Genomic DNA, 25,468 nt, shown 5'->3' with positions numbered 1-25,468 from the left:
ATGAGTAAAGTCCTAGATCTCCCACTTGTAAGAATTCACAGAAAAGTATGTGACTCTGTCATACTCTACAAAGCCTGAGTGGCACAAAGAATCTCATAACAGGCACCAGTAACCAGGTGTTACTGTGACTGTTGGATGCACAACAAGCTGACATGACTGTCATTCTCACATATGAACAGAGCCTATGAATGAGGTACTAAATCTCACACACATAAGCAACATAAGCTTGATTTTGTTACTCTCATACATGAGTCTGATCCATGGACACTTTGGTGACATTTCAACCATGATTCAGCAGACCCATGGTTCTTCCACTCTTCTGCTGGAACACAATCTTCAAGTGGGATTGGGGTTTTTACATGGATCCTGTGCATTGTTAAGAATGTGACTCATGTATTTTGACACAATCCATAGGAGGTGTTGACTCTCATACCCGAATCCAGGACTTGTGTGGGATTGTGAAACTTATTTCTGAATATTTTTGGGTGTCTGATGGACAAGTATAACTTTGACCAGCATCCGAGTTTTTGCCTCTGCTTTCTAGACTCGGAGCACAGTTGAAATTGTGACGTGTGCACCAGCACCTAAACAATATATAACAACTTCTTTGGCAATTTTCAAAGGGAACTTTTGCATATCACTTTGACCAGCACCCAGCTGATGTAAAATCTTGGCCTGAAACCTGCCTACAAAAGGCACCATGGCTTTTATCTAGGTCAATCATGTAAGTGCTGTGACTTCCTTCTACCTCCCTGGCCCTGCACTTATGGTGCATCGTGAGACATAACTGGCTACTGCACCTGGGTGATGTGACTATTTTCTGGGGTAGGGATATTCTGCCAATAGGAAGATTTGTAACATATCACTTGGTTCAGCACCTAGGTGATGTTTCTTCTCTCTTGCCTCGGCTCTGACCAGCACAGAGATTGCTAAATCAGACATATTGCAGAAGCCAGCACCAAGGTGAGCTTACTCTCCTGCCTTCGTCCTGCACACAGGGGCCATTGTGACATACATCCAGGCCGATTGCCTAGGTGAAGATTGTCTCCAGTCCTGTCTAAGCCCTGACCATAGGAGGTATTCCAATATATAACAGAAACTAGCATCCAGTTAATTTGGCTCCAGAGTCCTGTCCACGAGGAGGATTGTGACATTTCTCTGGACCAGAAACCCACTCAGTTAATGTGACTTTCCTTACTTCTCCCTGCCCACAGGTGATATTTTACCATATACCTGAGACCACAACAAAGGCATAATAATGACTCTTGTACCTGGAGCCAGGACATACTCAGGATTTTGACTCTCATCTATTAACCTTCTCACAGGTGTTATTGGGATATTTACCTTAGCCCAGCTCCACAGTGATTTAATAACCTTTTTCTAGTTATAGCCCACAGATGACATTTTGACATATACCTGGGTCAAGAACTGTGGTGATTTGACTCTTGTGTCCTATCAACGTCCTCAAAATGGATCATAACATATATTTGGACCCATCCTCCATGTTATGTGTCTCTCTTCTGCTGCCTGAACCCTGCTTTCAGTGAAGAGTGTAGCATTTCTTAGCATGACATCCAGGTGGCATGCCTCTCTTGCCTGGCCTTTTTAACAGGAGGCATTGTGACATATCTCTGGGCCAATTATTTAGGTTATATGACTCTCCTCTCCTGTCAGGACAATCTCCACAAGGATGATTATGCCACAGACCTGAGCCTAGACTCAAGTTTGTGACTTTTGTTAGGGCCCTACCTGCAAAGAAAATATTGAAATATTTCTGGCTTAGGATTTAGCTAACGTGGTTGTCCTGCCTGTTTAATAACCACAGAGAGGATGGTACACATACCTAGGCACAGCTCACAGACATGATAATGACTAATATATGTGGACCCAGCCACATATAAACTAGGTTTAGGGACATGAGAGATGTCCATGATTACCTTCTGGTAAAAAAAAAGGCACCAAAGTTTATAACAATGACAAATGTTTTATAAAACCGTTGGGTTGAATAGAGAGTGTCATAATAGTGGTTAGCAAACAGAGGAAATTGTGAGTCTCATATGCACACTTGGCTGACAGTAAGGACTTTCATCATCACAGATGAATGCAGGCAACTCTCCTACATGAAAACAAGAGATGTGTGGTATTGTAAATCTAATCCATAGGGGTTTTTGACATCTACTTGGGCCAACCTGTAAAAGATATGACTCTTCTGACTGGGCTCTGCCCTCAGTAAGAATTGTGACATCACTGGATCTAGAATGCAAGTGACATTACATTCCTGCCTGCCCATTCTCACAGACATCATAGTGATATATCACTGGGTCCATGACTTAGAAGAAGACATAACTCTAATCTCTAAAATGGGCCCTGCACACATGGCAGGATAGTGACATCTTCCTAGGCCAGTCACATATGAGATGATACATTCTTCCAGGGCCATGCTGAAAAGAAGGCATTTTGACATAGCACAGGGCATATAACATAGGTAGTATGGCTCCTCTCCTTGGTACCTGCACACTTGAATAATGACATATTGCTAGACCAGGTACAAAGGTGATTGTACTATTTTGCCAGGGCCATGCTTTCAGGAAGGCTTTGTGACGTGTCTCTGGGTCTATCATCTAGGTGATGTGACTTTCTTCTTAGTCCTGTACACATGAAGCACTGTGACATAAGGGTGGAACGGGCTCCTAGGTGATGTAACTCTCTTGCCTGAGTTGTTTTCTAAGGGGACTTGTGAATATCTCAGAACTCAGAACCAGATGATGTGGCAATTCATCCTCGTTTCTGTAAAAATATAAAATTGTGACATACACCTAAAGAAGCACCTAAGTAAGACGACCCTCTTTTTCTGCCTGAGGCCAGCCTACTGGTGACATTGGGCCATATTTCTGAGCCTATGACCCAAGTGATGTGACTCCCTATTTCAGCCTGGGACTTTTCAGTGAGAAGATTGTGACAAATTGATGAGCCCAACACTTAGGTAATGTGACTCTTGTCTTGTAACTGAACAATGTGCACAAAGAGGACTTTTGCTGTATTTCCTGGCCCTGCACCTGGATGATGTTACTCTTCTTTCTACCTCATGCATAAAGAGAAAATTATGGCATATTTCTCGGGCCAGCACCATAATCATGTGACTCTCCTGCCTGTACCAGAGCCACAGAAGGTATATTGACATATCTTTGGCCCATTCTGTACGTGTTTTGGCTCTCATCATTTCCCTGGGTTTCTTCCACATGTGGTTGTATCATATTGTTGGCTGCAGCCCTTGCTTTATGTGATGCTCTTTGCTAGGCCCTGCCTAAAGGAGGTATTGTGATATATTGTTTGGACTAACTCAAAAGTGATGTTAACATTCTCTTTGGTTTTTTGCTCACAAATGGGATTATGACATGTACCTAGTTTCGGATCAAAGCATGCTGATCAAGCTTATATTGGGATACAGTGAATAGGAGATATTTCACCTGTCACCACTTTGTTTACATCAAAAGGTAATGTCCTTCATTTCATATTTGTACAGAGATCACAGAAGTTTACAATATTAACTCATATCATAAAATATTGTGGGCGGTACAGGGAATTTTATTACAGGGCCCAGGAAAAATTTAAGATTGACTCTTGACTACATATGCAGGTGAAAGTAAATATTGTTACCATCCTACATTTACAAAGCCCATTGTTAAGGTCATGAGTCTATCAGGTAAATAAAGAATAAACTTGGAATTGTAAATTTCACAAGTGAATCTGGCCACAGATGGGAAGGTGACCCATTTCCAGAACCATATCACAGGCATAATCATTGTCTCATTTCTAAAGCAAACCTATAGGAGAAATGTCGGTTGTCATGTCTGTGTTTAGGGTAATATGTAAGATCGTGAGTACATATATGCATGTAGGCCTCAGAGAGGTTTGCAACACTTATGCATCTCATACAAAATTTTCAGATGTGGTAGGGAGTTTCATATTATAACCAGGACACATGTTAGATTGTGACTGTCATATATACCATAGCTAAGAGTTAATGGTGTCACCTTTAAAGATGAGGAGCTTGTGTCAATTCCCTTGGCCTACTACCCTGGTGTTGAAACTTTCTGGTTTAAGTTCCTTTCCATAAAAGCATCGTTACCTATCAATGGGTCAGAATCGTGCAGTGTGACTCTTCTGCCTGGACCCTGCAAATAGGGGATATTTTCACATATCTTCAGGCCTTTTAACTAGATGATATGTCTTTTCTGCCAGTGCCCTGCCAACAGGGTACACTGTGACATATTGAAAGATATAGCATCTAGGTAATGTGACTCTCCTGTCCTGTCTGGATCCTGCTCACTGAAAAAATTGTGACATACCACTGAGTGGTATGTCACATATTGCTGAAGCCAGCACCAAGGTGAGCTTACTCTCCTGCCAAATGTTACACTGTGACATATTTCTAGGGAGCTACCTAGGTGATATGTTATCAATGTCTGCCTTATCCCTTCATACTGGGAACATTGGGACATATCTTAGAGCTCATGACCTATATGATATGACTCTCTTCTTTTTCTGTCTGGGCCTTTGAAAAGGTGGGATGGTGAAATATTGCTGACCCCAGTGTTTAGGTCCTGGAACTATACAATTTTTTTCTGAACCATACCCACAAAGAGAAATTTTGACCTATTGCACTCAAATGATATTACTTTTCTGCCATTTTCCTAAATAAAGGGAAAATTATTGCATACTGGTGTCTCTGGCACCTTCATGATGCTACTGTTCTGCTTGTGCCAGAGCCTCAGTGGGTATTTTGACATACCTTTGGCCCATTCTGTAGGTGTTTTGGCTCTCATCCCTTCACTAAATTTTTACATGTGTAGTTGTGTCATATTGCTGAGCTCAGCAACCAGTTAATGTGACACTCCTTCCTAGGTTCTGCCTAGAGAGAGCATTGTGACATGTTGCTGGCCACATCACCTAAGTGATGTTACTCTCCCTGCCCCTCTTTTTTTGGCCAACAAACAGGAAGATGACTTATAACTTGCTTCAATTCACAGGCATGGTGGTGAAACTTATATTGGGATTCAGCCAATAAAAGATATTTTGGCTCTCTTTACTAGGTTTAGAGGAGTAGGTAAAATCCTGGATTGCATGTCTCTACAAAGCTCACAGAAGTTTAGAACACTAGTTTATATAATATAAACTCCTGGGTAGTAAAGAGCATTTCCTACTGTGTAAAACACTTGGATGTGGTAGAGGGTGTCATACAATGGCCCAGCACACACACGTGGCATTGTGACTCATGTGCATACCAAGCTAGCAGTTAAAGATGTCACCCTCAAAAATGAGAATATTGTGTCATATCACTGGGCTTAGTACCCATGTGCTAAAACTTTTGGTTACATTGTTTTCAAAGCATGCATTTTTGACAAATTACTGGGTTAGAATCATAATAATATGACCATTCTCCCTGAGCTCTGCAAACAAGGGATATTGTCACATATCTCTGAGCCTGTCAGAGGTAATTTGTCTACTTTGCCTGCACTTTTCTCTCAAGGAATATTGTGACATTGTTGCAAGTAGCATCTAAGAAATGTGGCTCTTCTGCAAAGATCCTACCCACTAAACAAATTCTGTCATACCGCTGAGTTCAAAACCTAGGTAAGGAAACTCTCCTCTTTATTCTGTCAAAAGAGAGGTTTACTACATATTGCTGAGCCAAACACCTATGTGTTGCGACTCTTCTCTCTTTCCTCAATCCTGTTAGAGTGGACATGGTGCCATATTACTTGTGTCTGTATCCAGGTTATGTGACTCTTCTGACTTGGCCCTGCCTGCAGAGGAGATTGTAATATATCCTGAGCTCAGAATCCAGGCAATGAAACTCTTCTGCCTTGGTTCTGCCAACAGTTGAACTTGTGACATATACTTGGTTTCAGCTCACATGCAGAAATATAACCATCATAACTGGACTCAGAAATTAGAGCTATTTTGACTCTCAAAGCCAGTCATGGCAATAAGTAAAGTAATGGGTCTCCTAATTGTATAAAGTTCACAGAAGATTATGACACTCAGGCATATTATGTAAAGCCTGAGTGGTACAAAGAGTGTCATAACAGGGAAAAGCAACCAGGTGCGTTTGTGACTCTTGGATGCACACCAAGCTGATCCAATTTTCATTCTCTCACAAGAACAGGGCCTAAAATTAAGTTACTAAATCTCACACATAAAAGCAGTCAAAGGTTGCAAATGTTCCCCTCATACATGGATCTTATTCATGTGTCATTTGCTGATGCATGATTCTACACACCTGTGACGATGTGACTCCTCTAGTGGAACACAATCTTCAAGTGAGATTGGGCATCTTATACATGGATGTTACCCATTGTTATTGTTGAGATTGTGACTTCTCTGCTTTAACCTAACTCACAGGAGGTGTTGACTCACATGCAAGAAGCCAGGACTTCTGCAGGACTATGAATCTTACTTCTGAATATTGTCTAGTGTGTGATTAGGACAAAAAGGTAGCACAGCTCCTGAATAACTTGACTTTCCTTTTTAGGTTATGACTAGTGATGAAATTGTGATATACATGGATCATACACCTAAGTGAAGATGTCTGGGCAGGCCTATAAAGGGCACTTTTAAGTATCACTGGGATCAGCTCCCAGGTGATGTGAATTCTTTGCCTGATTCTTGCCTATAAAAGGCAATATATCTAGATATATGTGGCTTATATCCAGGTCCATTGTGTAAGTGATGTGACTCCCTTCTACTGCTTTGGCCCTGCACTTATCATGCATTATGACACATAACTGGGCACCGCAAGCAGGTGATGTGACTCTCTTTTTTGGGCTCTGCCAACAGAAACACTTGTCTCAGAATCTAAATATTTTTTCTCTCATGTCTTGCCCTGACCACAGAGGAGATTGTGACATATTGCTAAACCCATGGCCAAGGTGAGGCAACTTTCATACCTTGGTTTAGCACATAGCAGCCATTGAGACACATATCTAGGCCAATTGCAAAAGTAACATGAGTCTTCTCACCTTCCTAATCCCTGTTAACAGGGGGAATCTTGATAAATCACTAAAATCGGCATCCTGGTGATTTGACTCTTCTTCCATTGTCCTGCCCACAAGAAGGATTGTGACATCTTACTGGACCAGCACCCACCTAGGTAAAGTCACCTTCCTGCTTGCCCTCTGCCCACAAGTAATACTGTGCCATATAACTGAGACCAGATATGAGGACTAATTATGACTCTTAAACCTGGAGACATGTCATATGCAAGACGGTGACTCCCATTCCTGTAATTTTCACCCTGTATTATTGTAACATATACCTTTGCCCATCTCCTGAGTTATTTAATAATCCTGCTTAGGTATAGTCCACAAATGAGATTTGGACGTATATCATAGCTGATCACCACAGTGATTTGACACTCCTGTCTTAACAATAACCTCAGGAAGGATTGTTGCATGTCTCTGGACCCATGATCTAGTTACCTGACTGTCCTCTCCTGCCCTGACCCTCCTTCCAATGGGGATTGTCACATTCCTAAGCACTGCATCTAAATGATGTGACTCTCTTACCTGGTCCTTTCAACAGGATACATTGTGACATATTCTGGGTTTGTCATTTAGGTGATATGAGTCTCTTCTTCTGTCTGGACACTGCCCACAATGGGCATTGTGCCATATTCCTGTCTTTAACCCCCAAGTTATGCAACTTTTCTGCCAGGAACATACCTACAAGGAGAATATTGGCACATTTCTCTCTCAGAATTTAGGTTACTTCACTGTCATGTCTATTTCATCAACACAGAGTAAATTCTTACATATATAGGCACAGTTCACAGGCATGATAATGACTCTTACATGTGCATCCCACAAATAGGTGTAATTTTGACTCTTATAACTTGTTTTAGAAAAAGGAGTGATTAAATATCTTTCTGGTAAAAAAAGCTCAAAGAAGATTATAACAGCCTCAGATATTTTATGTAGCACTTGGCTTGGACAGAGAGTGTCATAGCAGAACCCAGCAGAAAGGTGAAATTATCTCATATTCACACCAGATGACAGTAAGCGCTGTCACTGTCTTACATATATGAAGCCAACTGTTGCTCATGATAAAAGGACATGTGTGGTATTGTAAATCTCATCCAGGGAATTTTTTGCCAGTGTGATTGTGATATAAATCTCTGCCAAACACCTGTGTGATCTGACTCTCCAGACTGGTTCCAGCCCACATATGTTACTGTTATATCTACCTTGGCCAACCTCTAGGTAATGTGACTTTCCTGCCTGGATCCTGCTCTCAGTAAGAAGAGTGATATATCACTAGATCCAGCACGGAGGTCATGTTACATTTTTGCCTAAGCCATGCCCACAGAAGTCATTGTGACATATCACTGTATCAACCAGTTAGGTTGTACAAATCTCCTCTTTAGAATGGGCTGTACTCACACTAGGGGATAGTAGCACATGGCTGGGACTGGCACACTGTTGATGGTACTCTTTTTCTAGGGTAATGTCCAAAAAAGGGGATTGTGACAAATACCTTGGCCTATCAGGTTCGTATTTCTGCTCTCCTGCTTGGGTCTGGCTTACCTGGATAGTGACATATTGCTAGGCAAGGCACACAGATGGTGGTAGAGTTTCCCCAGAATCATGTCTCAAGGAGGATATTGTGACATATATCTGGGCCTGTTACCTAGGTGATATGACTACCTGCTTGAGCCTTGCCCATATGAAGCATTACAACATAAAGGTGGAACATGTACCTATTTGTTGAAACTCTCTTGCCTGGGTCTTGTCCTAAGGGAAGGTTGTGACATATGCCTGGACCCAGCCTCAAGGTAATGTGACTCTTCTGCATGGTACCACCTCACATGAGTGTTTCCCTCACCTTTTAGAAGAGTTTGTGTTTCTTTTTTAAGGGCATGACTCCCTTACCTTTATGAATTAGTCTTTCTCTGTCCTACATCTTGCTTTTCCTGCTCAAGTCCTCCCTGGGAAAAAGGGGCTCCAGGGTTGTCAACATGTGGGCATGCCCTGCTCACCCTTCTGCATAAGGTAGGTTGAAAAGAAAAAGATGAGCTGTCCCCAGCAGGTTTTTTTGGTGGATGTGATTATTTTGGTGATCTTATAATTCTGAAATTTTTAACATCTGTTATTGACATGTGGGCATGGCTAAATTTCACCACTCATCAGATTTTACAAATTATTAAAAAGAAGCAAATTACCATATACTTCTACTAAGCAGAAGATGGGGGAAAAGGAAGATGAAACAAGTGGCCTTTCTTTTCAGTTATTGTTGAGTTTGGAACTGTATTGGATTTTTAAAAATTATTTTGTTTAATCATGCATGTTGTGTGTGTGTGTGTGTGTGTGTGTGTGTGTGTGTAAGTGTGTGTGTGTCCCTCTTAGCTGCCATCATCTGTTGGGAATATTTTTTTCCTCTGCTTAGAGAATGGCCTTGATGAAAGCACTCAGCAATCGAATGGATAAGAATTGAACACATACTTCAGGATATTTTTCATTGTTCTTCCTTACATGTTCATTTTCTGAACAACAACAACAAAAAAACCCTATGAAATATTAAGGCTTTTTTTAAAACCTTGAAGTGGCATCCTTGAATAGTTGCCTTACATTATTTGTTTTAGCAGATTTCAAAGGTGACTGCCAAAATTCCCCAAGTGTTTCAAAAAAGAGAAAGACCCTTAATTGTGTTCACTGAGAGACCTCCCTTTTCCTTACTGGGACTGTCTGCTTCAAATTCATTCCGCTCTGTCTCTCTCCTTGTTGTTTTATTGTAATGAATCATTGTGATGGGAAGCAAATTAGAAGAGTGGGGAGATGGCTGGAATAAGAATCGTGGGGACTGACACACAGTCTTCTCTCCAAAGTTAACTTGTCAGTCACTGAATGTGTCTGAGCTTCAGTTTCCTTCAAATGAAGCAGGGGCTGACAAACTTTCTGTAAAGGGAAAGATGGTGAATATTTTGGGCTTTGCTGGTGATGTGGTCTCTGTTATAACTACTCAAATCTGCAAAAGCTTTTGTAGTGCCAAAGCAGCCATGGACAATATGCACAATATAGTGGGCATGGCTATATTCCAATAAAACTTTATTTACAAAACCAGGCACTGGGCTGGACTTGGCCTGTGGCCCATAGTTTGTCCAATGCTGACAAACTGTGTTCTAAAAGATCAGAGTAAAACATATTGCTTTTTTTTTTCTTGAGACAGAGTCTTGCTGCATTGCCCAGGCTGGAGTGCAGAGGCACGATCTCATCTCACTACAAGCTCCACCTCCCAAGTTCACTCCATTCTCCTGCCTCAGCCTCCCAAGTAGCTGGTACTACAGGTGTCTGCCACCATATCTGGCTAATTTCTTTGTATTTTTAGTAGAGATGGGGTTTTACCATGTTAGCCAGGATGGTCTCCATCTCCTTACCTCGTGATCCACCTGCCTTGGCCTCCCAAAGTACTAGGATTACAGGCATGAGCCACTGTGCCTGGCCCTGCCATCTTTTTCTTATCAGTTTATATGGCAGAAATTAATTATGACAATGAAAGCACTTTGAAAAATATAAAGCAGAGATTTGTTTCTAGCTAGGATTGGGTAGTCTGAGGCAAACTAACGATCCCAAGAAGTACCATATAAAATACAGAAAGCACCATTCTGTTTAAAGACATGTTGGAACATGAGGAGTAGGGGGGCTAAAATATCAAAAAGAAGAGAGCTGAGGAGAGATGAGCTGATGGTCTGTAGCTACTTTATTTATGGGGGATTTCTAATTCTGGGTGGTGACAAAATAATGTGGACCTGGGCTTTGTTTAGATGGAGTGTTGCAGCTCTGAGAAAAATAAACCTAGTATTCTCTTGGGACTGGGGTTGAGAGACAAAATTGGAGACTCGAGGAACCTGAAATTCACAGTTGGCTTTCCCTTCAAGACAGTTGCCCAATTCTGGACTGCATGGGATGAGAAGTTCAAAAGATAACCAGAATCCCTCTGGAAAGCAGAAGTGGTGTTCAGTAATCTTCTGGTGCTGAGAAAATAAGGATTACAGTTTAGGACTTGCTTTTGGAGGTTGCAAGGGGTGGGGTCATCACAGACACACCAGGCTCTCAATGAAGGCCAGGACAGCTAAGTCCTAGCCAAGGACATAAGCTAGGAGCAGCCTGAGTCTTGTAAGAGTTCCTGATTGGTTTAGATCATTAGCCAGCACCCCCATCCCCAACTCTATCTTCCTGGCAGAAGAAAGGAGAGCAAACTTTTGAGGAAGAAAACTTCATCAAAATCTTTTCAACTTTCTAATACATGATTAGAAATACATGATGTCTGGTATTCAATAAAAAAAAAATTACTCAGTGTGTCAATGTGACCATCCCCCAAAAATGAGAGAAAAACAAATGATAGAAACAGATCCACAGATGATCCAGAGTGAATAGAATTAAATTTAGCAAAAAAAAGGGGGATTTTAAAATAATGAATTAATATGTTCAAGAAAATAAATTTTTAATGGAGGAATTAGATGAAAATATGAAAAATTTAAACAGAGAATTGGAATCTATAGTTAATCAAATAGGCTTTCTATTACTTGGAAAATATATCTGCAATTAAGAACTCAATGGATACGGTTTTAACAGATCATATAAGCAGGAAACAAGCATAGTGACCTGGAAGAAAGGTTAATAGAAATGATTTATGCTGAAGTGCACAGAGAGAAAAATTGAACATATAGAAAAAGCATAAGAGACAAGTGGGACACAATGAAAAGTCTAAAATATGTGTAATTGGAGTCTCAGAAGGAGCAGAGTGGGAGGGAGTGAGACAAAAGCAATGTTTTAGGCTAAGAATTTCCCCAGATTTGTAAGAGAGATCAACCCATAGATTCAAGAAGTTGTACATACTCCAAGCATAATAAATAAAAGAAAAAGAAAATGCACAGAGTAGTGAATGGGTAAACATGTTATTCAGAAACAAACAATGCACTGGCATTGTAGATTTCTGTCTCTAGTGGATAAGACCCATTACAGTGTGAGGCTCTAGCTTCATGCTTCTTGGGTTTCCTTCCCTGAACCCTTGTGTATACTTCAACCGTAACTCTTTGCTCGCTGTCTCTTGCATTCTTCTGCTTCTTTACTTTTGTTAAGCTCAATTCATAACACCAGACCTTGGTGTTTCTCGTTTTTTAGTCACCTTTATCTTTGGCCTTATCATGTTACTGTTAACATCTGCAAGTTGCAGTTTAAAGGTCAAACAAGAGCTTCACCCATTGAGGTAGTATATTCATTTCCTGAGGCTGCTGTCTGTAACAAATATCACACATGTGGTGGTTTAAAGCAATAGATATGTAGTCTTTGGGAGCATTTGAGGCCAGAAGTCTGAAATCAAGGTGTCAACACAGTCTCACCCCATCTCGAGGCTCTAAAGGGAAAATATATTCCTTGCTTCTTCCAGCATCTGATAACCATCTGCATTCATTGGCTCATAGCCTCAGCTCTCTGCTCTGTCTTCATATCACCTTCTGCTCCATATGCCTATGTCGTCTCCTGTGTGTCTGTCTCAAAACTCTCTGTGCCTCTCTGTTATAAGGATCCCTGTGACTGCATTTAGGGACCACTTGTATAAAACAGGATAAGCACCTCTTCCCAAGGTCTTTAACTTAATCACATCCTTTGTTATATAAGGTAATATTCACAGGATCTAGGGATTAGGACATGGACACATCCTTTGGGGGAACCTATTAAAGGTGATGCTGCTGTTAAAATAATAATAGTAAGGACTTAACAACAGTAGTTATGTGCCAAGAAGCATGCTAAGTTCATTCTGTTAATTGTCTCATTTAATCCTTGTACTGTCTCTATAAATCAGATTCCCTTATTACCACAGTTGTACAGAAGAGGGCTGTGAGGCTTGGTGAGGTTTAGGGACTTGCCAAGGTCGCTCAACTAGTAAGTGGCAGAGCCAGGATTGGAACCCAAGCATCTGAGCTTCAGACCTCCTTGCCTTACGTGCTATGAGTGAGCAGGCTGGATTTCTGGTTGGACTGCTTCCAGGAGCTGGCTTTTAGACTGTTGGCCCTGGATGGTACTTCCTAGCTCTAAAGTTCCATGGTCCAGTGAGTTGTTGTCACAAAAGAAAATCTCAACCTGGATTATTAAGAGTATAACAAATTTTAATCTGCCAGATAGTGGAGAGAATTTGTTTACACTGCTAATAGATAAAACTGATAGGAGTTTGCTGTTGTGCATTTTGGTATTTGCTGATGGTTTAAGGGTGTGTATACCAGAAGGAAAAATTAGTTGTGCACACACAGGCCAAAACTACAGCATCTGAATGAATTGAAATAATTACTCAGATTATTTGGACTCTGTCTACCATATAATTGAGGTAAATGGGGTTATTGATTTGAAGTAGCTAGGTCATTTGGTCTACCTCCCTTTGATAATGTGAACATGGTCATATCATGTAATTGTATAATTGGCTGAAAGGGCTCTATTCTTTCCCTTGAAGCATCTACTATTGTCTGTGGCCAGGCCATTGGGTTGTAGTGTGATAGTGTGTTCAGTTGTTACAGACAAACCCTAAGTTCTTGGTGTGGGTTTCCTAGCGGAAAATTCATACATATATGTGTGTGTATTTATGTATGTGCATATATTTTAATTAAAAATGGAATTATAAAAAGTATTTTTAATGTATGATTATTCTTGATTATTCATGTAAGAGTTTTAAAGAACTATGTGCTTCCAACTTAAACCACCTCAGAGTCTATTTGAGGAGACAGACTCCTTTGTGAAAAGTTTTTTTATTTTTATTTTTAATTAAGCTCCACTGTAATGTCTATATTTGAATTGCCTAGGAAACTTATTATAGCAGAGCTTATTCCTTGTCAAAGATGGTCAACAGAAAATTAGATTCAGTTTATTAGCTTCTACCTAAGTCTTACTTAAAGGGGCCCATGTTGTAGTTTTGTTATTGGATCACAAACATTTAACTTGATCCTTCCTATTCCTGGCACTGGCCCATATTGTCACAGAAGCTGTGCTGCCCAAGGGTGTCTGTGGCATGGCCTTTTCAATTCACTCTCCAAAATGGCTGAGTAGTGCATTCTGAGACTCCATTTTACATTGGGACCAAGCCTGCTTTGTCTGCCGTTTGTTGAAGAAGTCTGGCTAGCCTCAAGTAGGGAGATTACATTATGAAGGGCAAGAAATTCTGCGGTGGGTAGGTGGGAGAGAGTGGGCCACATCACAGCTGATGGACACATGTCTCAGATTTTCTGGAATCATCTGGCTTTAAAATATCCTCTATGGTTTTAGACCATAAATCCTGAATTTTTGCATGGAAAATGAGGCTCAAGTGACATCTGCTCATGTGTCTCTCACATTAATTGTATGTGTAACAGGCCTCTTACATGATATTTCTACCCTTAACAAAAAAGGAGAAAATGAGAAGATTTAGGTACACACACACACACACACACACACACATGCACACACACACATATATATATATATATATATTCCCCACCTAGCCTCTGTCTGAAATGTGTGGTTTTGGTTTGGGACAGCAGCATTCATTGTTGACATCATTGATCCAATTATTTTATCTCCCACTTCACTTCGCTTGCCCAGATGTGGTCCAAAGAGTATAGGGCTGTTAAGATAAAACCAGGCTCAGGAAATTCAAATGAAATGTCTACTTGAACCTCCTCAAGTCTTCCCTGTGGGCTGTGTATTTATTTATAAGCCTGCTGGGCTTGGGCAGCAGAAAAAATGAAGAGAGGAGAAATTTGTTTCTAAAATGAAAACAAAATTTAGTTAATATAAATGCTACCAATGTGCAACTCACCCTGCCAGCTCCCAATAAATGTACAAATATCAAAATAACACAACAGATAAAAATCACAGTGGAAAAAGAGAAATTGAGACACTTCTGTATTTTGCAGGGCCAGAATAATCCACACAATTTACTCCTTCCACCAGGCATATTTTACATATTACCTTATTATCTGATTTCACATAATACTTACATTGTAATTTCTGAATCAACTCTAAAATTCATAAAAATTTGCAATAAAGCTATGTCCACTCAAAGTGTTGAAATAAGTCAATAATATGGAAAATTCATGTTCTTAAAAATGCCTTGGCTTCAGTTATCACATTTAATTTTCTTAGTTTTCTAGTTTAGTTTACAAATGTCAAATAACTAAAAGTTACAGGAACCAAAAATGATAAACTTCTCTCAAAACTTATTGTACATAAATCTTAGAGTTTTTTTTCTAGCATTTAAATAAACAACAATGGATAATAATTCTATATGTTCCTTTTTCAACTTTTTTTCTATAGCATAATGATATTGACTAGATATAAGTGACAGCTTATTTAAAGCCAGTGAGTTTTGCACATGGACTAGAATTTTTAAGAAAAATTAAAAATTTTTAATGTAGAGTTGAGTTTCATTTTAAACATTTATTTATTTACTTATTATTATTTTAGAAACAGGGTGTCGCTCTGTCACCCAGACTGAGTGCAGTGGCACAATCACAGCTCACTGTAGCCTTGAACCCTTGAGCTTAAGCAATGCCCCCACCTAAGCCTCCCAAGCAGCTGGGATACAGGCACACACGTCCGTATCTGACTAAATTTTAAATGTTTAAAGGAGAAGCTACTGCTTCAGCCTCCTAAAGTGCTAGGATTTGTAATTTTCAATGTTTTGAGATAGGAGAAAATTAAAAATAGTTTTTCACTAGGTCATGTAACTCTTCATGTAAGAGTTTAGGTGTCTGATATACTTTGTGGATATTACTTAGTCCTTTCTGGTTTTGTTAAAACTAATTTCCTTCAGAAAACACAGCAGTGGCTAGGCACAGTGGCTCATACCTGTAATTCCAGCACTTTGTGATGCTAAGGAAAGTGGATTGTCTGAGCCCAAGGGTTCAAGACTAGCCGAAGCAACATGGCGAAACCTCATCTCTACAATAAATACAAAAAAACAAAACAAAACAAAAAAAACAGCTGGATGTGGTGGTGCACACCTGTGGTCCCAGCTACTCAGGAGGCTAGAGAGGGGGAATCACCTGAGCCTGGGAGATGAAGGCCGCAGTGATCTGTGATGGCATCACTGCACTCCAGCCTGGTGACAGAGTGAGACCCTGTTAGAAAGAAAAGAAAAGGAAAGGAAAGGAGAGGGGAGGGGAGGGGAGGGGAGGGAAAGGGAAAGGGAAAGGGAAAGGGAAAGGGAAAGGGAAAGGGAAAGGGAAAGGGAAAGGGAAAGGGAGGAAAATCTACTAGTGCTGGGTTGTAACTTTTAGGGAATTCATCAAGCTGAGCACCATGTTTTCAAATGCCTCCCCTGATTTTTGTACTTCTAATCTGCTAGAAAAACAGATGAGCAGACTCATTATAAATGTGTATTTAAAAAGAACAGCTATATGGCCTGAAGGACTGCACAAAGGGGACTGAAGTTTATTGAAAGTATCATGGTTTTGAGAATTATTTGGCTTCTTGATGTTTTGTGGATCTGAGTTTTTAGTTGCTGGAATTTGACATCTAAATAAGAGGCTGTTGCTATGATATGTAAATAGAGTGTGTCATTATGCATGTTGAAAGGACAATTTACAATTTACAAAGATGGAAAAGCTCAATAAAGATCTACTATAGAAAAGATACTGCAAAGGCAAAGCTATAGATAGATGGGCTTCTTGAAGGTGAACAGAATTAATGACAAGTGAAGGAAAAATTCACATCACAAAGAGGGAAAATGTCTTCCAGATGTCAGTGAGGGGAACACTATTCCTTTTCCTTTAGGCTGTATCCTGGGAATATCACCCATTACCTGAAACCCCAGCATGCTGAGCATACCAGGACCTGAGTAATACAGCAGAACACATTCTATATCAATGTGTTTCCACACTTTCCCCTGCTGGCTTTGTAAACCTCCATTGGTTAATCATCTTGTCTTGTTTCCTTTTATCTTCCTGGTACCTAGCACAAGCATGGCACATAGTAGGTGCTCAGTAAATGTCTGTCTTAGTCCACTGTCTGTTGTTGAAACAAAATACCCAAGACTGGGTAATTTATAAAGAACAGAGTTTTTTGTTAGTTTGTTTGTTTGCTTGCTTGCTTGCAGTTCTGGAGGCTAAGAAGTCAAAGATCAAGTTGCTGACAGGTTTGTTGTCTGGTAAGGGCTGATCTCCACTTCCAAGATGGTGCCTTGTTTCTGTGTCCTCCAGAGGAGAGGAATGCTGTGTCCTCACATGGTGGAAGGCAGAAGGCAAAAGGGACCAAACTCTGTCTGTGAAACCATTTATAATGATATTAATCCACATATAAAGGCTGAGCCCTCCTGACCTAAGCACCTCTGAAAAGGACCCACCACCCAACACTGTTGCATTGAGGATTTAGTTTCCAACACATGAATTTTGGGGAGACATACTCAGACCACAGCAATGTCTATCGAATTAAGTCTTAATGGTAAAATATCTTCTTTGTCTAACAGTTGTGTGTACAATTATTCCCCACACCCCCATAAGATTAATAATGTAATTTTTGTTTCAGTCAGCAGTAGCCACTTTGAATCAGCAGGACTGAAACAAAAAATAAAAATTTTATTACTTAAAATTTATAGATCTACATGAATGGTATTTTAGGTAAGTTTGTAATGCTTATAGTTCTGAAATTTCAGCATAAAACTGTATTGAGACTTTTGGGATGCTTTGTATATCGTAAAAGAAGGTATAATGATAACTGGCATTTATTGAATACTACTATGTCCTAGAAATGTAAGCCTTCATAGGTTTCCTGTGAAGATCCTACCAGGTAAATATTGTTATTGTCCCTTTTTATACTTGGAGGAAGATTAAGAACTCACCCAAGGTCATTTGGCAAGAACACAAGCCAGGATTTGAACCCAGGAAGTCTAAATCCAGAGCCTGGGCCCTTAACCACTGAGTTAAACTGCTTCTTAAGGTGACTTGCCTGCCTGCAGTGTTTGCTGAAGGGAATGGATTTACCCAGACAGGCCTGGCCCTTGGTAGAAACACTGCACAGCTCGGTGTAGAAGCAGTGACTCATCTGTACTTGCAGAGGCTGTAAAACAAATGTGGTGAACTGTAAAAGATTAAAGAGCCAGTTTTCCTGCCAGCTACCAGAAAGCTTTACATATACTTATTAAAGTTCTTATAGTGCTGGCATCTATTATTTAAAAAAAAACTTTTTACTGACATGTAATAAACAGAATGTTTCTTTTTATGACAGAAGTAGTTCTTGAAAGAGTTACATCTCTAGAACTCTAACACACTTCTGTGTCAACCAGACATGACTCTAGTCCAGTGGTTCTCAGAGTGTGATCTGGGGACCCCTGGGAGGTCCCAAATATTTTCAAAATGATACTAAGATCTTTGTTCGCCTTTTTCACTCTTCTCCTCTGACAAGTGTGCAATGGAGTTTTCCATTGGTTACATGACACATAATGGCATCATCACTAATTAACATGTGTGCTTGGATATTCTTATTTTTAAAATGTCTTAGTTTTAAGTGTTCTAATTTGATGAATATAAATAGATGTAACCCACATAAACAAAAGTTCTTAGGGGCGACCTCAGGAATTTTTCAAAGTGGAAAGTGGTTCTGTAATCCTTTTCTAAGAGTTTGGTCAGTGGAGGGTGTTTATTGCTTTTTAATAGAAATTTATTCCTAACATACCAGAGTTTGCAATCACCTTCCAATATGTAAGGAGTTGAGTGAGATGAAATTAGAAAGACAAACCATTCAGAAAGATAAACCATTCTCCTTGAGCTTCCTCTCTTCTTTCAGGATGCTCCCAAAGCCCAGAGTAACTTATTTTCTAAAAGAAGGGGTATTCTTTCTACCTCAGATATCCAAAGATGGGGTATTTATTCTAACTTGCAAGGCATTCTTTTGAAAAGAACAGTCCTAGTTACTGTAATTGTTAATAAGGCAGCCTGTCAAGTCTCAGAATCCATTCTTCTGTGTGATCAGAAGCGGGCTGCATACGTCCTTCCTTATGTTTAATCCACTCTGCTTTGAGGTCTTAAGAATTAGCTGTTCTTGGATTAAGTGCCCTTAATCAGCTCGTTTTACATTACAATGCAAAGTTTCTCCTGTTCTACAGAGAACTTAATTTTCATTTGCTGTCTATGATCACAGAATAGTAAGTGGATTCCTAAGAAATTTCATGAAGTGAAATGATTATGCAGAGATTGGGGGAGGTGGTGGGGGATGTAAAGCTAATTGATTAGTTTAGAATCTTCTAATTTTCATAAGGAATATAGGAGCCCAATTTGTATTTCTTCCTCTTGGCATCATGTTCTCACAGATTGTCTGATGTTTCATTATCATCTTGACAGAACAGCAGATGAAGAATTTGTTGACTAGCATATCCGTTGAGTTTTTGCCATGTGCATTAGTAGTCCGCAATTAGTTTATTTTGACTCTACTAGTTGATTATCTGAGAGCTTTAAGAGTTAAGAGGAGAGCGGCTCTGAGTCCTAAGTTTTCAGTGCCACTGTCCTTTGAACACTGCAGACAACTACACCCCCAACACCAATATACTGGGCTTTGAGAACCATAAAAGACTGGTGTTAATGTCCTCTCATAATGACATTTGTGGGCAGAATGCTTCCCTATTTAGAATTTTCTTAATCCTTACATATAGCTGACCTCAGTGTTTTCATCTGTCAGCACTGGTCATTTGCATGGTTTCAGTGTTAATTTGCACACTTGTCATCCTAGGGTTGTGTTTTCCTGCCACCAACCTGTTTTTGGAGTCTCTTCCCAGTGGATTTGAAAACTCCTGGCTACTAGAGTGAGGATTTTCACATACTCACACAAAGTGGAAGTGAGCAGATTGTGGCTTTTGCCAAATAAGCCTCTTTGATATTCCCCACCCCCTAAAAATAACATCATTTCTCCAAGTAGTCGTTATAAAGAAACACCACAGAGCAAGTTTTTCTAACAAACACACACCACCTAAACAAGCTGGGCAGGCCACACGCTGCTGTTGTTGCAGCTGTTTGCTGATCACAGGGTCTAGCTCCTGTGAGCAAGGAGGTGTTTATGGCCTAGATATAAAGCCTGGCTGCAGTGAGGAGGTTGCTGGCCACCAGTCCTCATTTATCAGCTTTTTTTTCCTTACCCTTGGAAGACCTGAGATCTTTATGGGAGACAGCATGGTGGAGAGTAGGAGGCTGGGTTTTGCTGTCTTGTCCTTCTTAGTAACTGGTTCTGTATTTGCTCTATCCTTTGTTTTTGTTTTCTCAATCATGTATTAATTTGATAAGGATTTATTGACTTCTAGTTATGTACTAGGCAAAAAACTAGTTGTGAGGAGAACAAAATGAACAAGAAAAAGTCCCTGGCTTCACTGAAAGACATTCTAGAAAACTGTGATAGTGAGTACTAGATCTAGATAGTGCCTTGACACAAGGAGGGAGGCCTTGGCTTGTGGGTTGAAGAAGTCTCTTCTAGAAAGAGTTATGAAGGATGAGTAGGAGTTCTCTAGGCAGTCTGGGAATGAGGAGGGGAGGAGAAGGAAAGATTGGTGTCTTAAATATCCATCTACCCTGATTCTCCCACTCCTGCCACCTTGCAGACCTTATGAATTGATTGGGAACTGTTTCTCAGTGAGCTCACCCTTGGCTTCACAGTGTTTTTTTTTTTTTTAAACATGGCTCTAGACTGCCTCTCACAGAATCATCTTCAGACTTGAGTGAGCAAACAAGTCAATAAGCATGGTTGTTGAAATGCTGGTCTGATTGAGTAGGTCTGTGGTACAGCCTGGGATGCTCATTCCTAATGTGAACACATTCTTCCCACCCCCAGGTGATCCTGATGCAGTTGTGCTCAGCAGCTGCCACTTTGCTGAGAAGTCAATATGGCATGGTCTCATTCCATAGATGGATTATGAATTGATAAGAGCAATGTGGGGCAATTTGGCAATTGCCCCTGTAAAGATATATAAGAGTGGGATTTTAGAAAAGCATCGTGATAGAAACTATTAGGAACTATGGAAATGATTCTCATTAGGAAAGCAGAGAGGTGACTAAGGAGACCTGGTTACAGTGGCAGCCTTTTCATCCAAGGAAGCACAGATCAGATGGAGCTCATATTCCTCAGAGAGTTCTGGCATAATGCCTTGTTCACCTCTACCTTAGACTTCTGTCCTCTGCCTTCTATTTCTGCACTGTGGGCAGGAAGTCCTGGGACATGGAGAAGGTCAGTAACATGTTATTTGCATTTTGCTTTCCTTAATTATGTCACTCTCTCTTTATAAATGTCTTTGAATAACATTTTTAAAATTTAAACTGAAAAGTTGAATTTGCTTTTCAAATATTTACTTTGGTTATTTTCTTTCATCGTACCCTGAAATTAAGCATGTCTGGCTTATACTGGATATTTATAATCACTGTGGGTCAGAGAGTGTTTGCAGACTCAGCACCTGATACCCATCAAAGGTTCTCCTTTAGTGGGATCCTGTGCCTTCAAGACACTTTTCTGAGAAGATATCAGAGCAATCATACTCTTAGTTGAAACTGAGACTCCTCAAAAGTGCCTTTAAAGACGCATTATTTTTCTTATATGTTTTCTCTAAGAGCTTGGCTGCAGCAGCATTGTTTTTGGTACTGTTTATTTCTGCATAGTAAGTCCTCACTTAACATTGTCAGTAGGTTCTTGGAAACTGCAACTGTAAATGAAACAATGTATCATGAAACCAATTTTACCATAGGCTAATTGAGAAAATCAAGACTTAAATTCCTATGGCATATTTCTGTTCACAAAAACATTACCAAACTTCTCCATAAAGGCCAAAATATTTCTAATACTAAACATGGAAATAAATGTGAGCTGTACATACAGTAAAGAAAGATTAATAAAAACAAATAAGATAATGACTTGCCCAATTTTTTGTAAAACAGTGAGTGATAGTGGTTGTAGCGGTAGTGGGTGAAATCAGGGAATAAATGTTTACAAAGTGAAATTCGTAAGAAGCACTTCCCCCCACCAGGAAGTTAAAAAACAATAACAAATCCGGTGGGCTCACCAGGTGCTTTCATCCCACATTGTTAATGGTTGCGCATCTGTGTGATTATCATGGACTGTACACATTTTTATTTTACAATTATTTGTATTCATTCCTTCATTCATTTTCCAACTGATGTATTCCAGTTCAGCTTCTTGGATGGCTGGAGGCTGTGCCAGAAGGTTAGGATGCAAGGCAGGCACCAGCCCTGGACAGGATGTCATTCAATTGCAGGAGTAGTCTCTCACACACTCTCACACTCCCTCAGACTGGGACAATGTAGACATGCCTGTTAACCTAACGTGGACACCTTTGGGATGTGGCAGGAAGCTGGAGTGCCTGGAAAAAACCCATAAGGACATGAAGAAATTAAGTCTTGAGACTTTATAATTGAAAATCCGGACAGGATTTATATGACAAATCATTTTGCATTGTAAATACAGTAGTTTAATTTTTATATTATTTGTACATATTCATTAATGGCTGTCTTTGATGCCATCAGTGCAATGTACTCTCAAAATGAGAAGAACTACCAAGAATGTCAGCTATCATACTCCTTAGGAAAATGGCTTAAAACATTCACAATATCCTTTCTTCTGAGTCACAAAAAGCTCCTCTTGGATTTGGTATGGGTGAGTTTGGTTACCAGTTCTGAATAACTGGTGATCCTTTGTGTCTTCTCTGACAGAAGTACTTTTAAATGTATGAAATACTTTATTAATACTCCAGGTTCCATTTCTAGCTGGTTGCTTTTAATATTTGAGTACCCACTACTAAATCTAAGCATCAGGGCACTTGGTGTTTCTTAAAAAGGGTTCTTGATATATCTTAATCTGTGTCTTCTCTGACAAAATGGACTGGTGAGGTGAGCAATAATGCCATCTTCTGAGTTTTATTAATAGATACAGTCAATAGAAATTATTGAGGCAGTCTCATTACAAATACCTGGACACTGAATTTTTACAGCACAGTGGGGTGTGTGTGTGTGTGCATGTGTGTGTGTGTGTAATTTACTGACTATGTGTGATTCTCTGAAATGACAAGCAAAGCAATAACAATTTACCTTTCCCCCTCTCCCATTGTCATGGCAGTCTGATGTTTAACAGTCATTTGTGGTCCGACAGCCTGCAACTTAATTCATTTGATCAGGCATCTGTTGCTTTGCCAGTTACTCTCTGACTGACCTGCAGAATCTTAGGTTTATATAAGCTTAAAGAAATTATTTTAATCTTACTGAGATTCCACTGTGTGTTCATCCATGGTTTAATTAAATTATTAAGAACAGTGTTTCAGAACTCATTCAGCTCAATAGGAAAACCACAAATAACACAACTTGAAAAATGGGCAGATGGCCTGAATAGACATATCACCAAAGGAGATATAAGAGTGGCCCACACATGTAGGAAAGAATGCTTATTAACTAACTGATTATCAGGGAAATGCAAATCAAAACCATAGTGAGATATGAGTTAACATGTATTAGGATGGCTACTATAAAAAATACAAGAGATAACAAGTGCTGGTGAGAATGTGGAGAATAAGAGAAACCTTGCACATGGTTGGTGGGAATGTAAACTAGTACAGTCATTATGGAAGACAATATGGAGATTCATCAAAAAGGAAAAATAGAAATACCATATGATCTAGCAACCCCATTACTGGGTATTTCTCCAAAGGAAATGAAATCAGTATGTTAAAGGGATATCTGCACTCCATCTTATTTGCAGCATTATTCATAATAGCCAGTATATGGAAACAATCTACATGTCCATCAATAGATGATTGGATAAATAAACTGTGGTATATATACACAATGGAATATTATTCAGCTTTAAAAAAGAAGGTGATCCTCCATTTTCAATAGCATGGGTGAACCTAGAGGACATTCTGCTAAGTGAAATAAGCCAGACACAGAAGGAAAAATACTACATAATCTCACATATTATGTGCAATCAAACTAAAAATCAAATACACAGAAACAGAGAGTAGAACTGTAGTTTGGGGGGCGGTGGTCAGGGAGATGGGGAGATGTAGGTGAAAGGTACAAAGTTGCAGTTATGTATGATAAGTCAATCTAGAGATCTAATACACATCATGGGGACTGATCTAATGTACAACATGGGGAATATAGCTAATAATATTATATACTGGAAATCTGCTAAGAGAATAGATTTTAGGTACTCTTCCCACACACAAAAAAGAAAACTAACTTTGTGATGTGATTGTTATGTTGGCTTTCTTGAGTGTAGTAATCATTTGACTAAGTATGTGTACATCAAAGCATCAGGTTGTACACCTTAAATGTACACAAAAAATCAATTAAAATAGAATTTTTAAAAAGAATAGTTTTTTGTGAAAGCATATTGGTGGTTGCTAGGGCTGGGGGAGAGAGGGGAATGGAAAGAGTAATTGCTTAATGGATGTGGGGTTTCCTTTTGGGTTGATGAAAATGTTCTAGAACCTACACATGGAGTTGATGGTTTTGCAACATCATGAGTGTACTAAATGCCACCAAATTGTTCACTTTAAAATGATTAATTTTATATTATGGAAACTTTACTTCAAATTTTAAAAATAGTGTTTTAATGGTGTGGTCTCCTAAGCCTGGATATGTATGTGTTTTATTTTTTTTTTAAGTTTCAGAAACATGAATTTGTTTAATGAAAAGATGACAGAAGTCTAAATTTTTAGAGGCCTAGAATAAACATTCTCACTTATTCCACAGATTTAGAAATGACACATGTGGAAGAAATAGGCTTTGTCTTCTGCAAGCATTGTTTTAAAAATTGGACTCCCATTTCTTACCTATACAATAAAAAGTCCTGCATTGAAAAGTGATTGATTTTAATGTTTTGCTAAATTGGATCTACTGCAAAGCCCAGGCACATTGATGTTATAGCACTAGCAGTCTTGAAGTAACTTTTTTTAAAAAAAGAAAGAGATTTGGTTGAGCAGTGTCATTATTAGCTTCACCTGTGAGCGAACTTACCTGAGGGAGATGGTGTCTTTCTCACATTGCGCTCCTTGATATTGACAGATCCATCAGCTGATGTAATTAGAAAAGCAAAGTCAGACGTTGAATGATTAAGTTAAAGTCAGAAATTATTTCCAGGCAAAATAATAGTAACTTTTGCATTTCAGCCTGCTGTTTCCTGCTTTATAGAGCCGAGTGAAATATGTAGTTGCTGTATGCAGTGGTTTCTTTCTTGTGTTGGAGGCTGATACTTTCCCAATAATAAAGTCTGAAATAGCAAAGACCTCACTTTGGCCCTTTGCAAATGTCTGAAGGGCTTTATTTCAAGGGAATAAATAGGGCTGCAGAATGTTTTTCCTAAACAAAACATAGCCATAGCAAAAACAAAATTTCCTTTATCCCAGGAGTGTTAAGAAATGTGTGGTTTTGTGGATTTTTTTTTCTCTATTTTCATTCCTTTCTTTT

At 39.5% G+C, this 25,468-nt stretch overlaps 2 long non-coding RNA genes across 3 annotated transcripts in view; one reads left to right on the top strand and one right to left on the bottom strand.

The window, feature by feature from the left end:
- Positions 1-1,964: 1,964 nt before the first annotated feature.
- TTTY12 (testis expressed transcript, Y-linked 12) lies at positions 1,965-8,633 on the bottom strand. Of its 2 annotated transcripts, NR_174112.1 has the most exons (4): positions 8,586-8,633; positions 7,569-7,724; positions 7,023-7,104; positions 1,965-2,787 (listed from the first exon to the last, which is right to left on the bottom strand). It is a non-coding gene; the product is annotated as a testis expressed transcript, Y-linked 12 (long non-coding RNA). The 2 variants fall into 2 exon arrangements; NR_001551.2 differs by lacking the exon at positions 7,023-7,104.
- Positions 2,778-25,468, top strand: part of LOC107987339 (uncharacterized) — a 30,404-nt gene continuing 7,713 nt past the window's right edge. The window contains exons 1-2 of the long non-coding RNA XR_001756056.2: positions 2,778-3,494; positions 7,044-7,153. This is a non-coding gene — a long non-coding RNA (uncharacterized LOC107987339). The remainder of the gene's footprint in view (positions 3,495-7,043; positions 7,154-25,468) is intronic.

This window comes from Homo sapiens, chromosome Y, assembly GCF_000001405.40.
Source record: "Homo sapiens chromosome Y, GRCh38.p14 Primary Assembly".
In the NCBI taxonomy this organism is placed as follows: Eukaryota; Metazoa; Chordata; class Mammalia; order Primates; family Hominidae; genus Homo; species Homo sapiens.
Note: the sequence above shows the minus strand (reverse complement) of the source record. Positions and strands in the feature narration are given on the sequence as shown.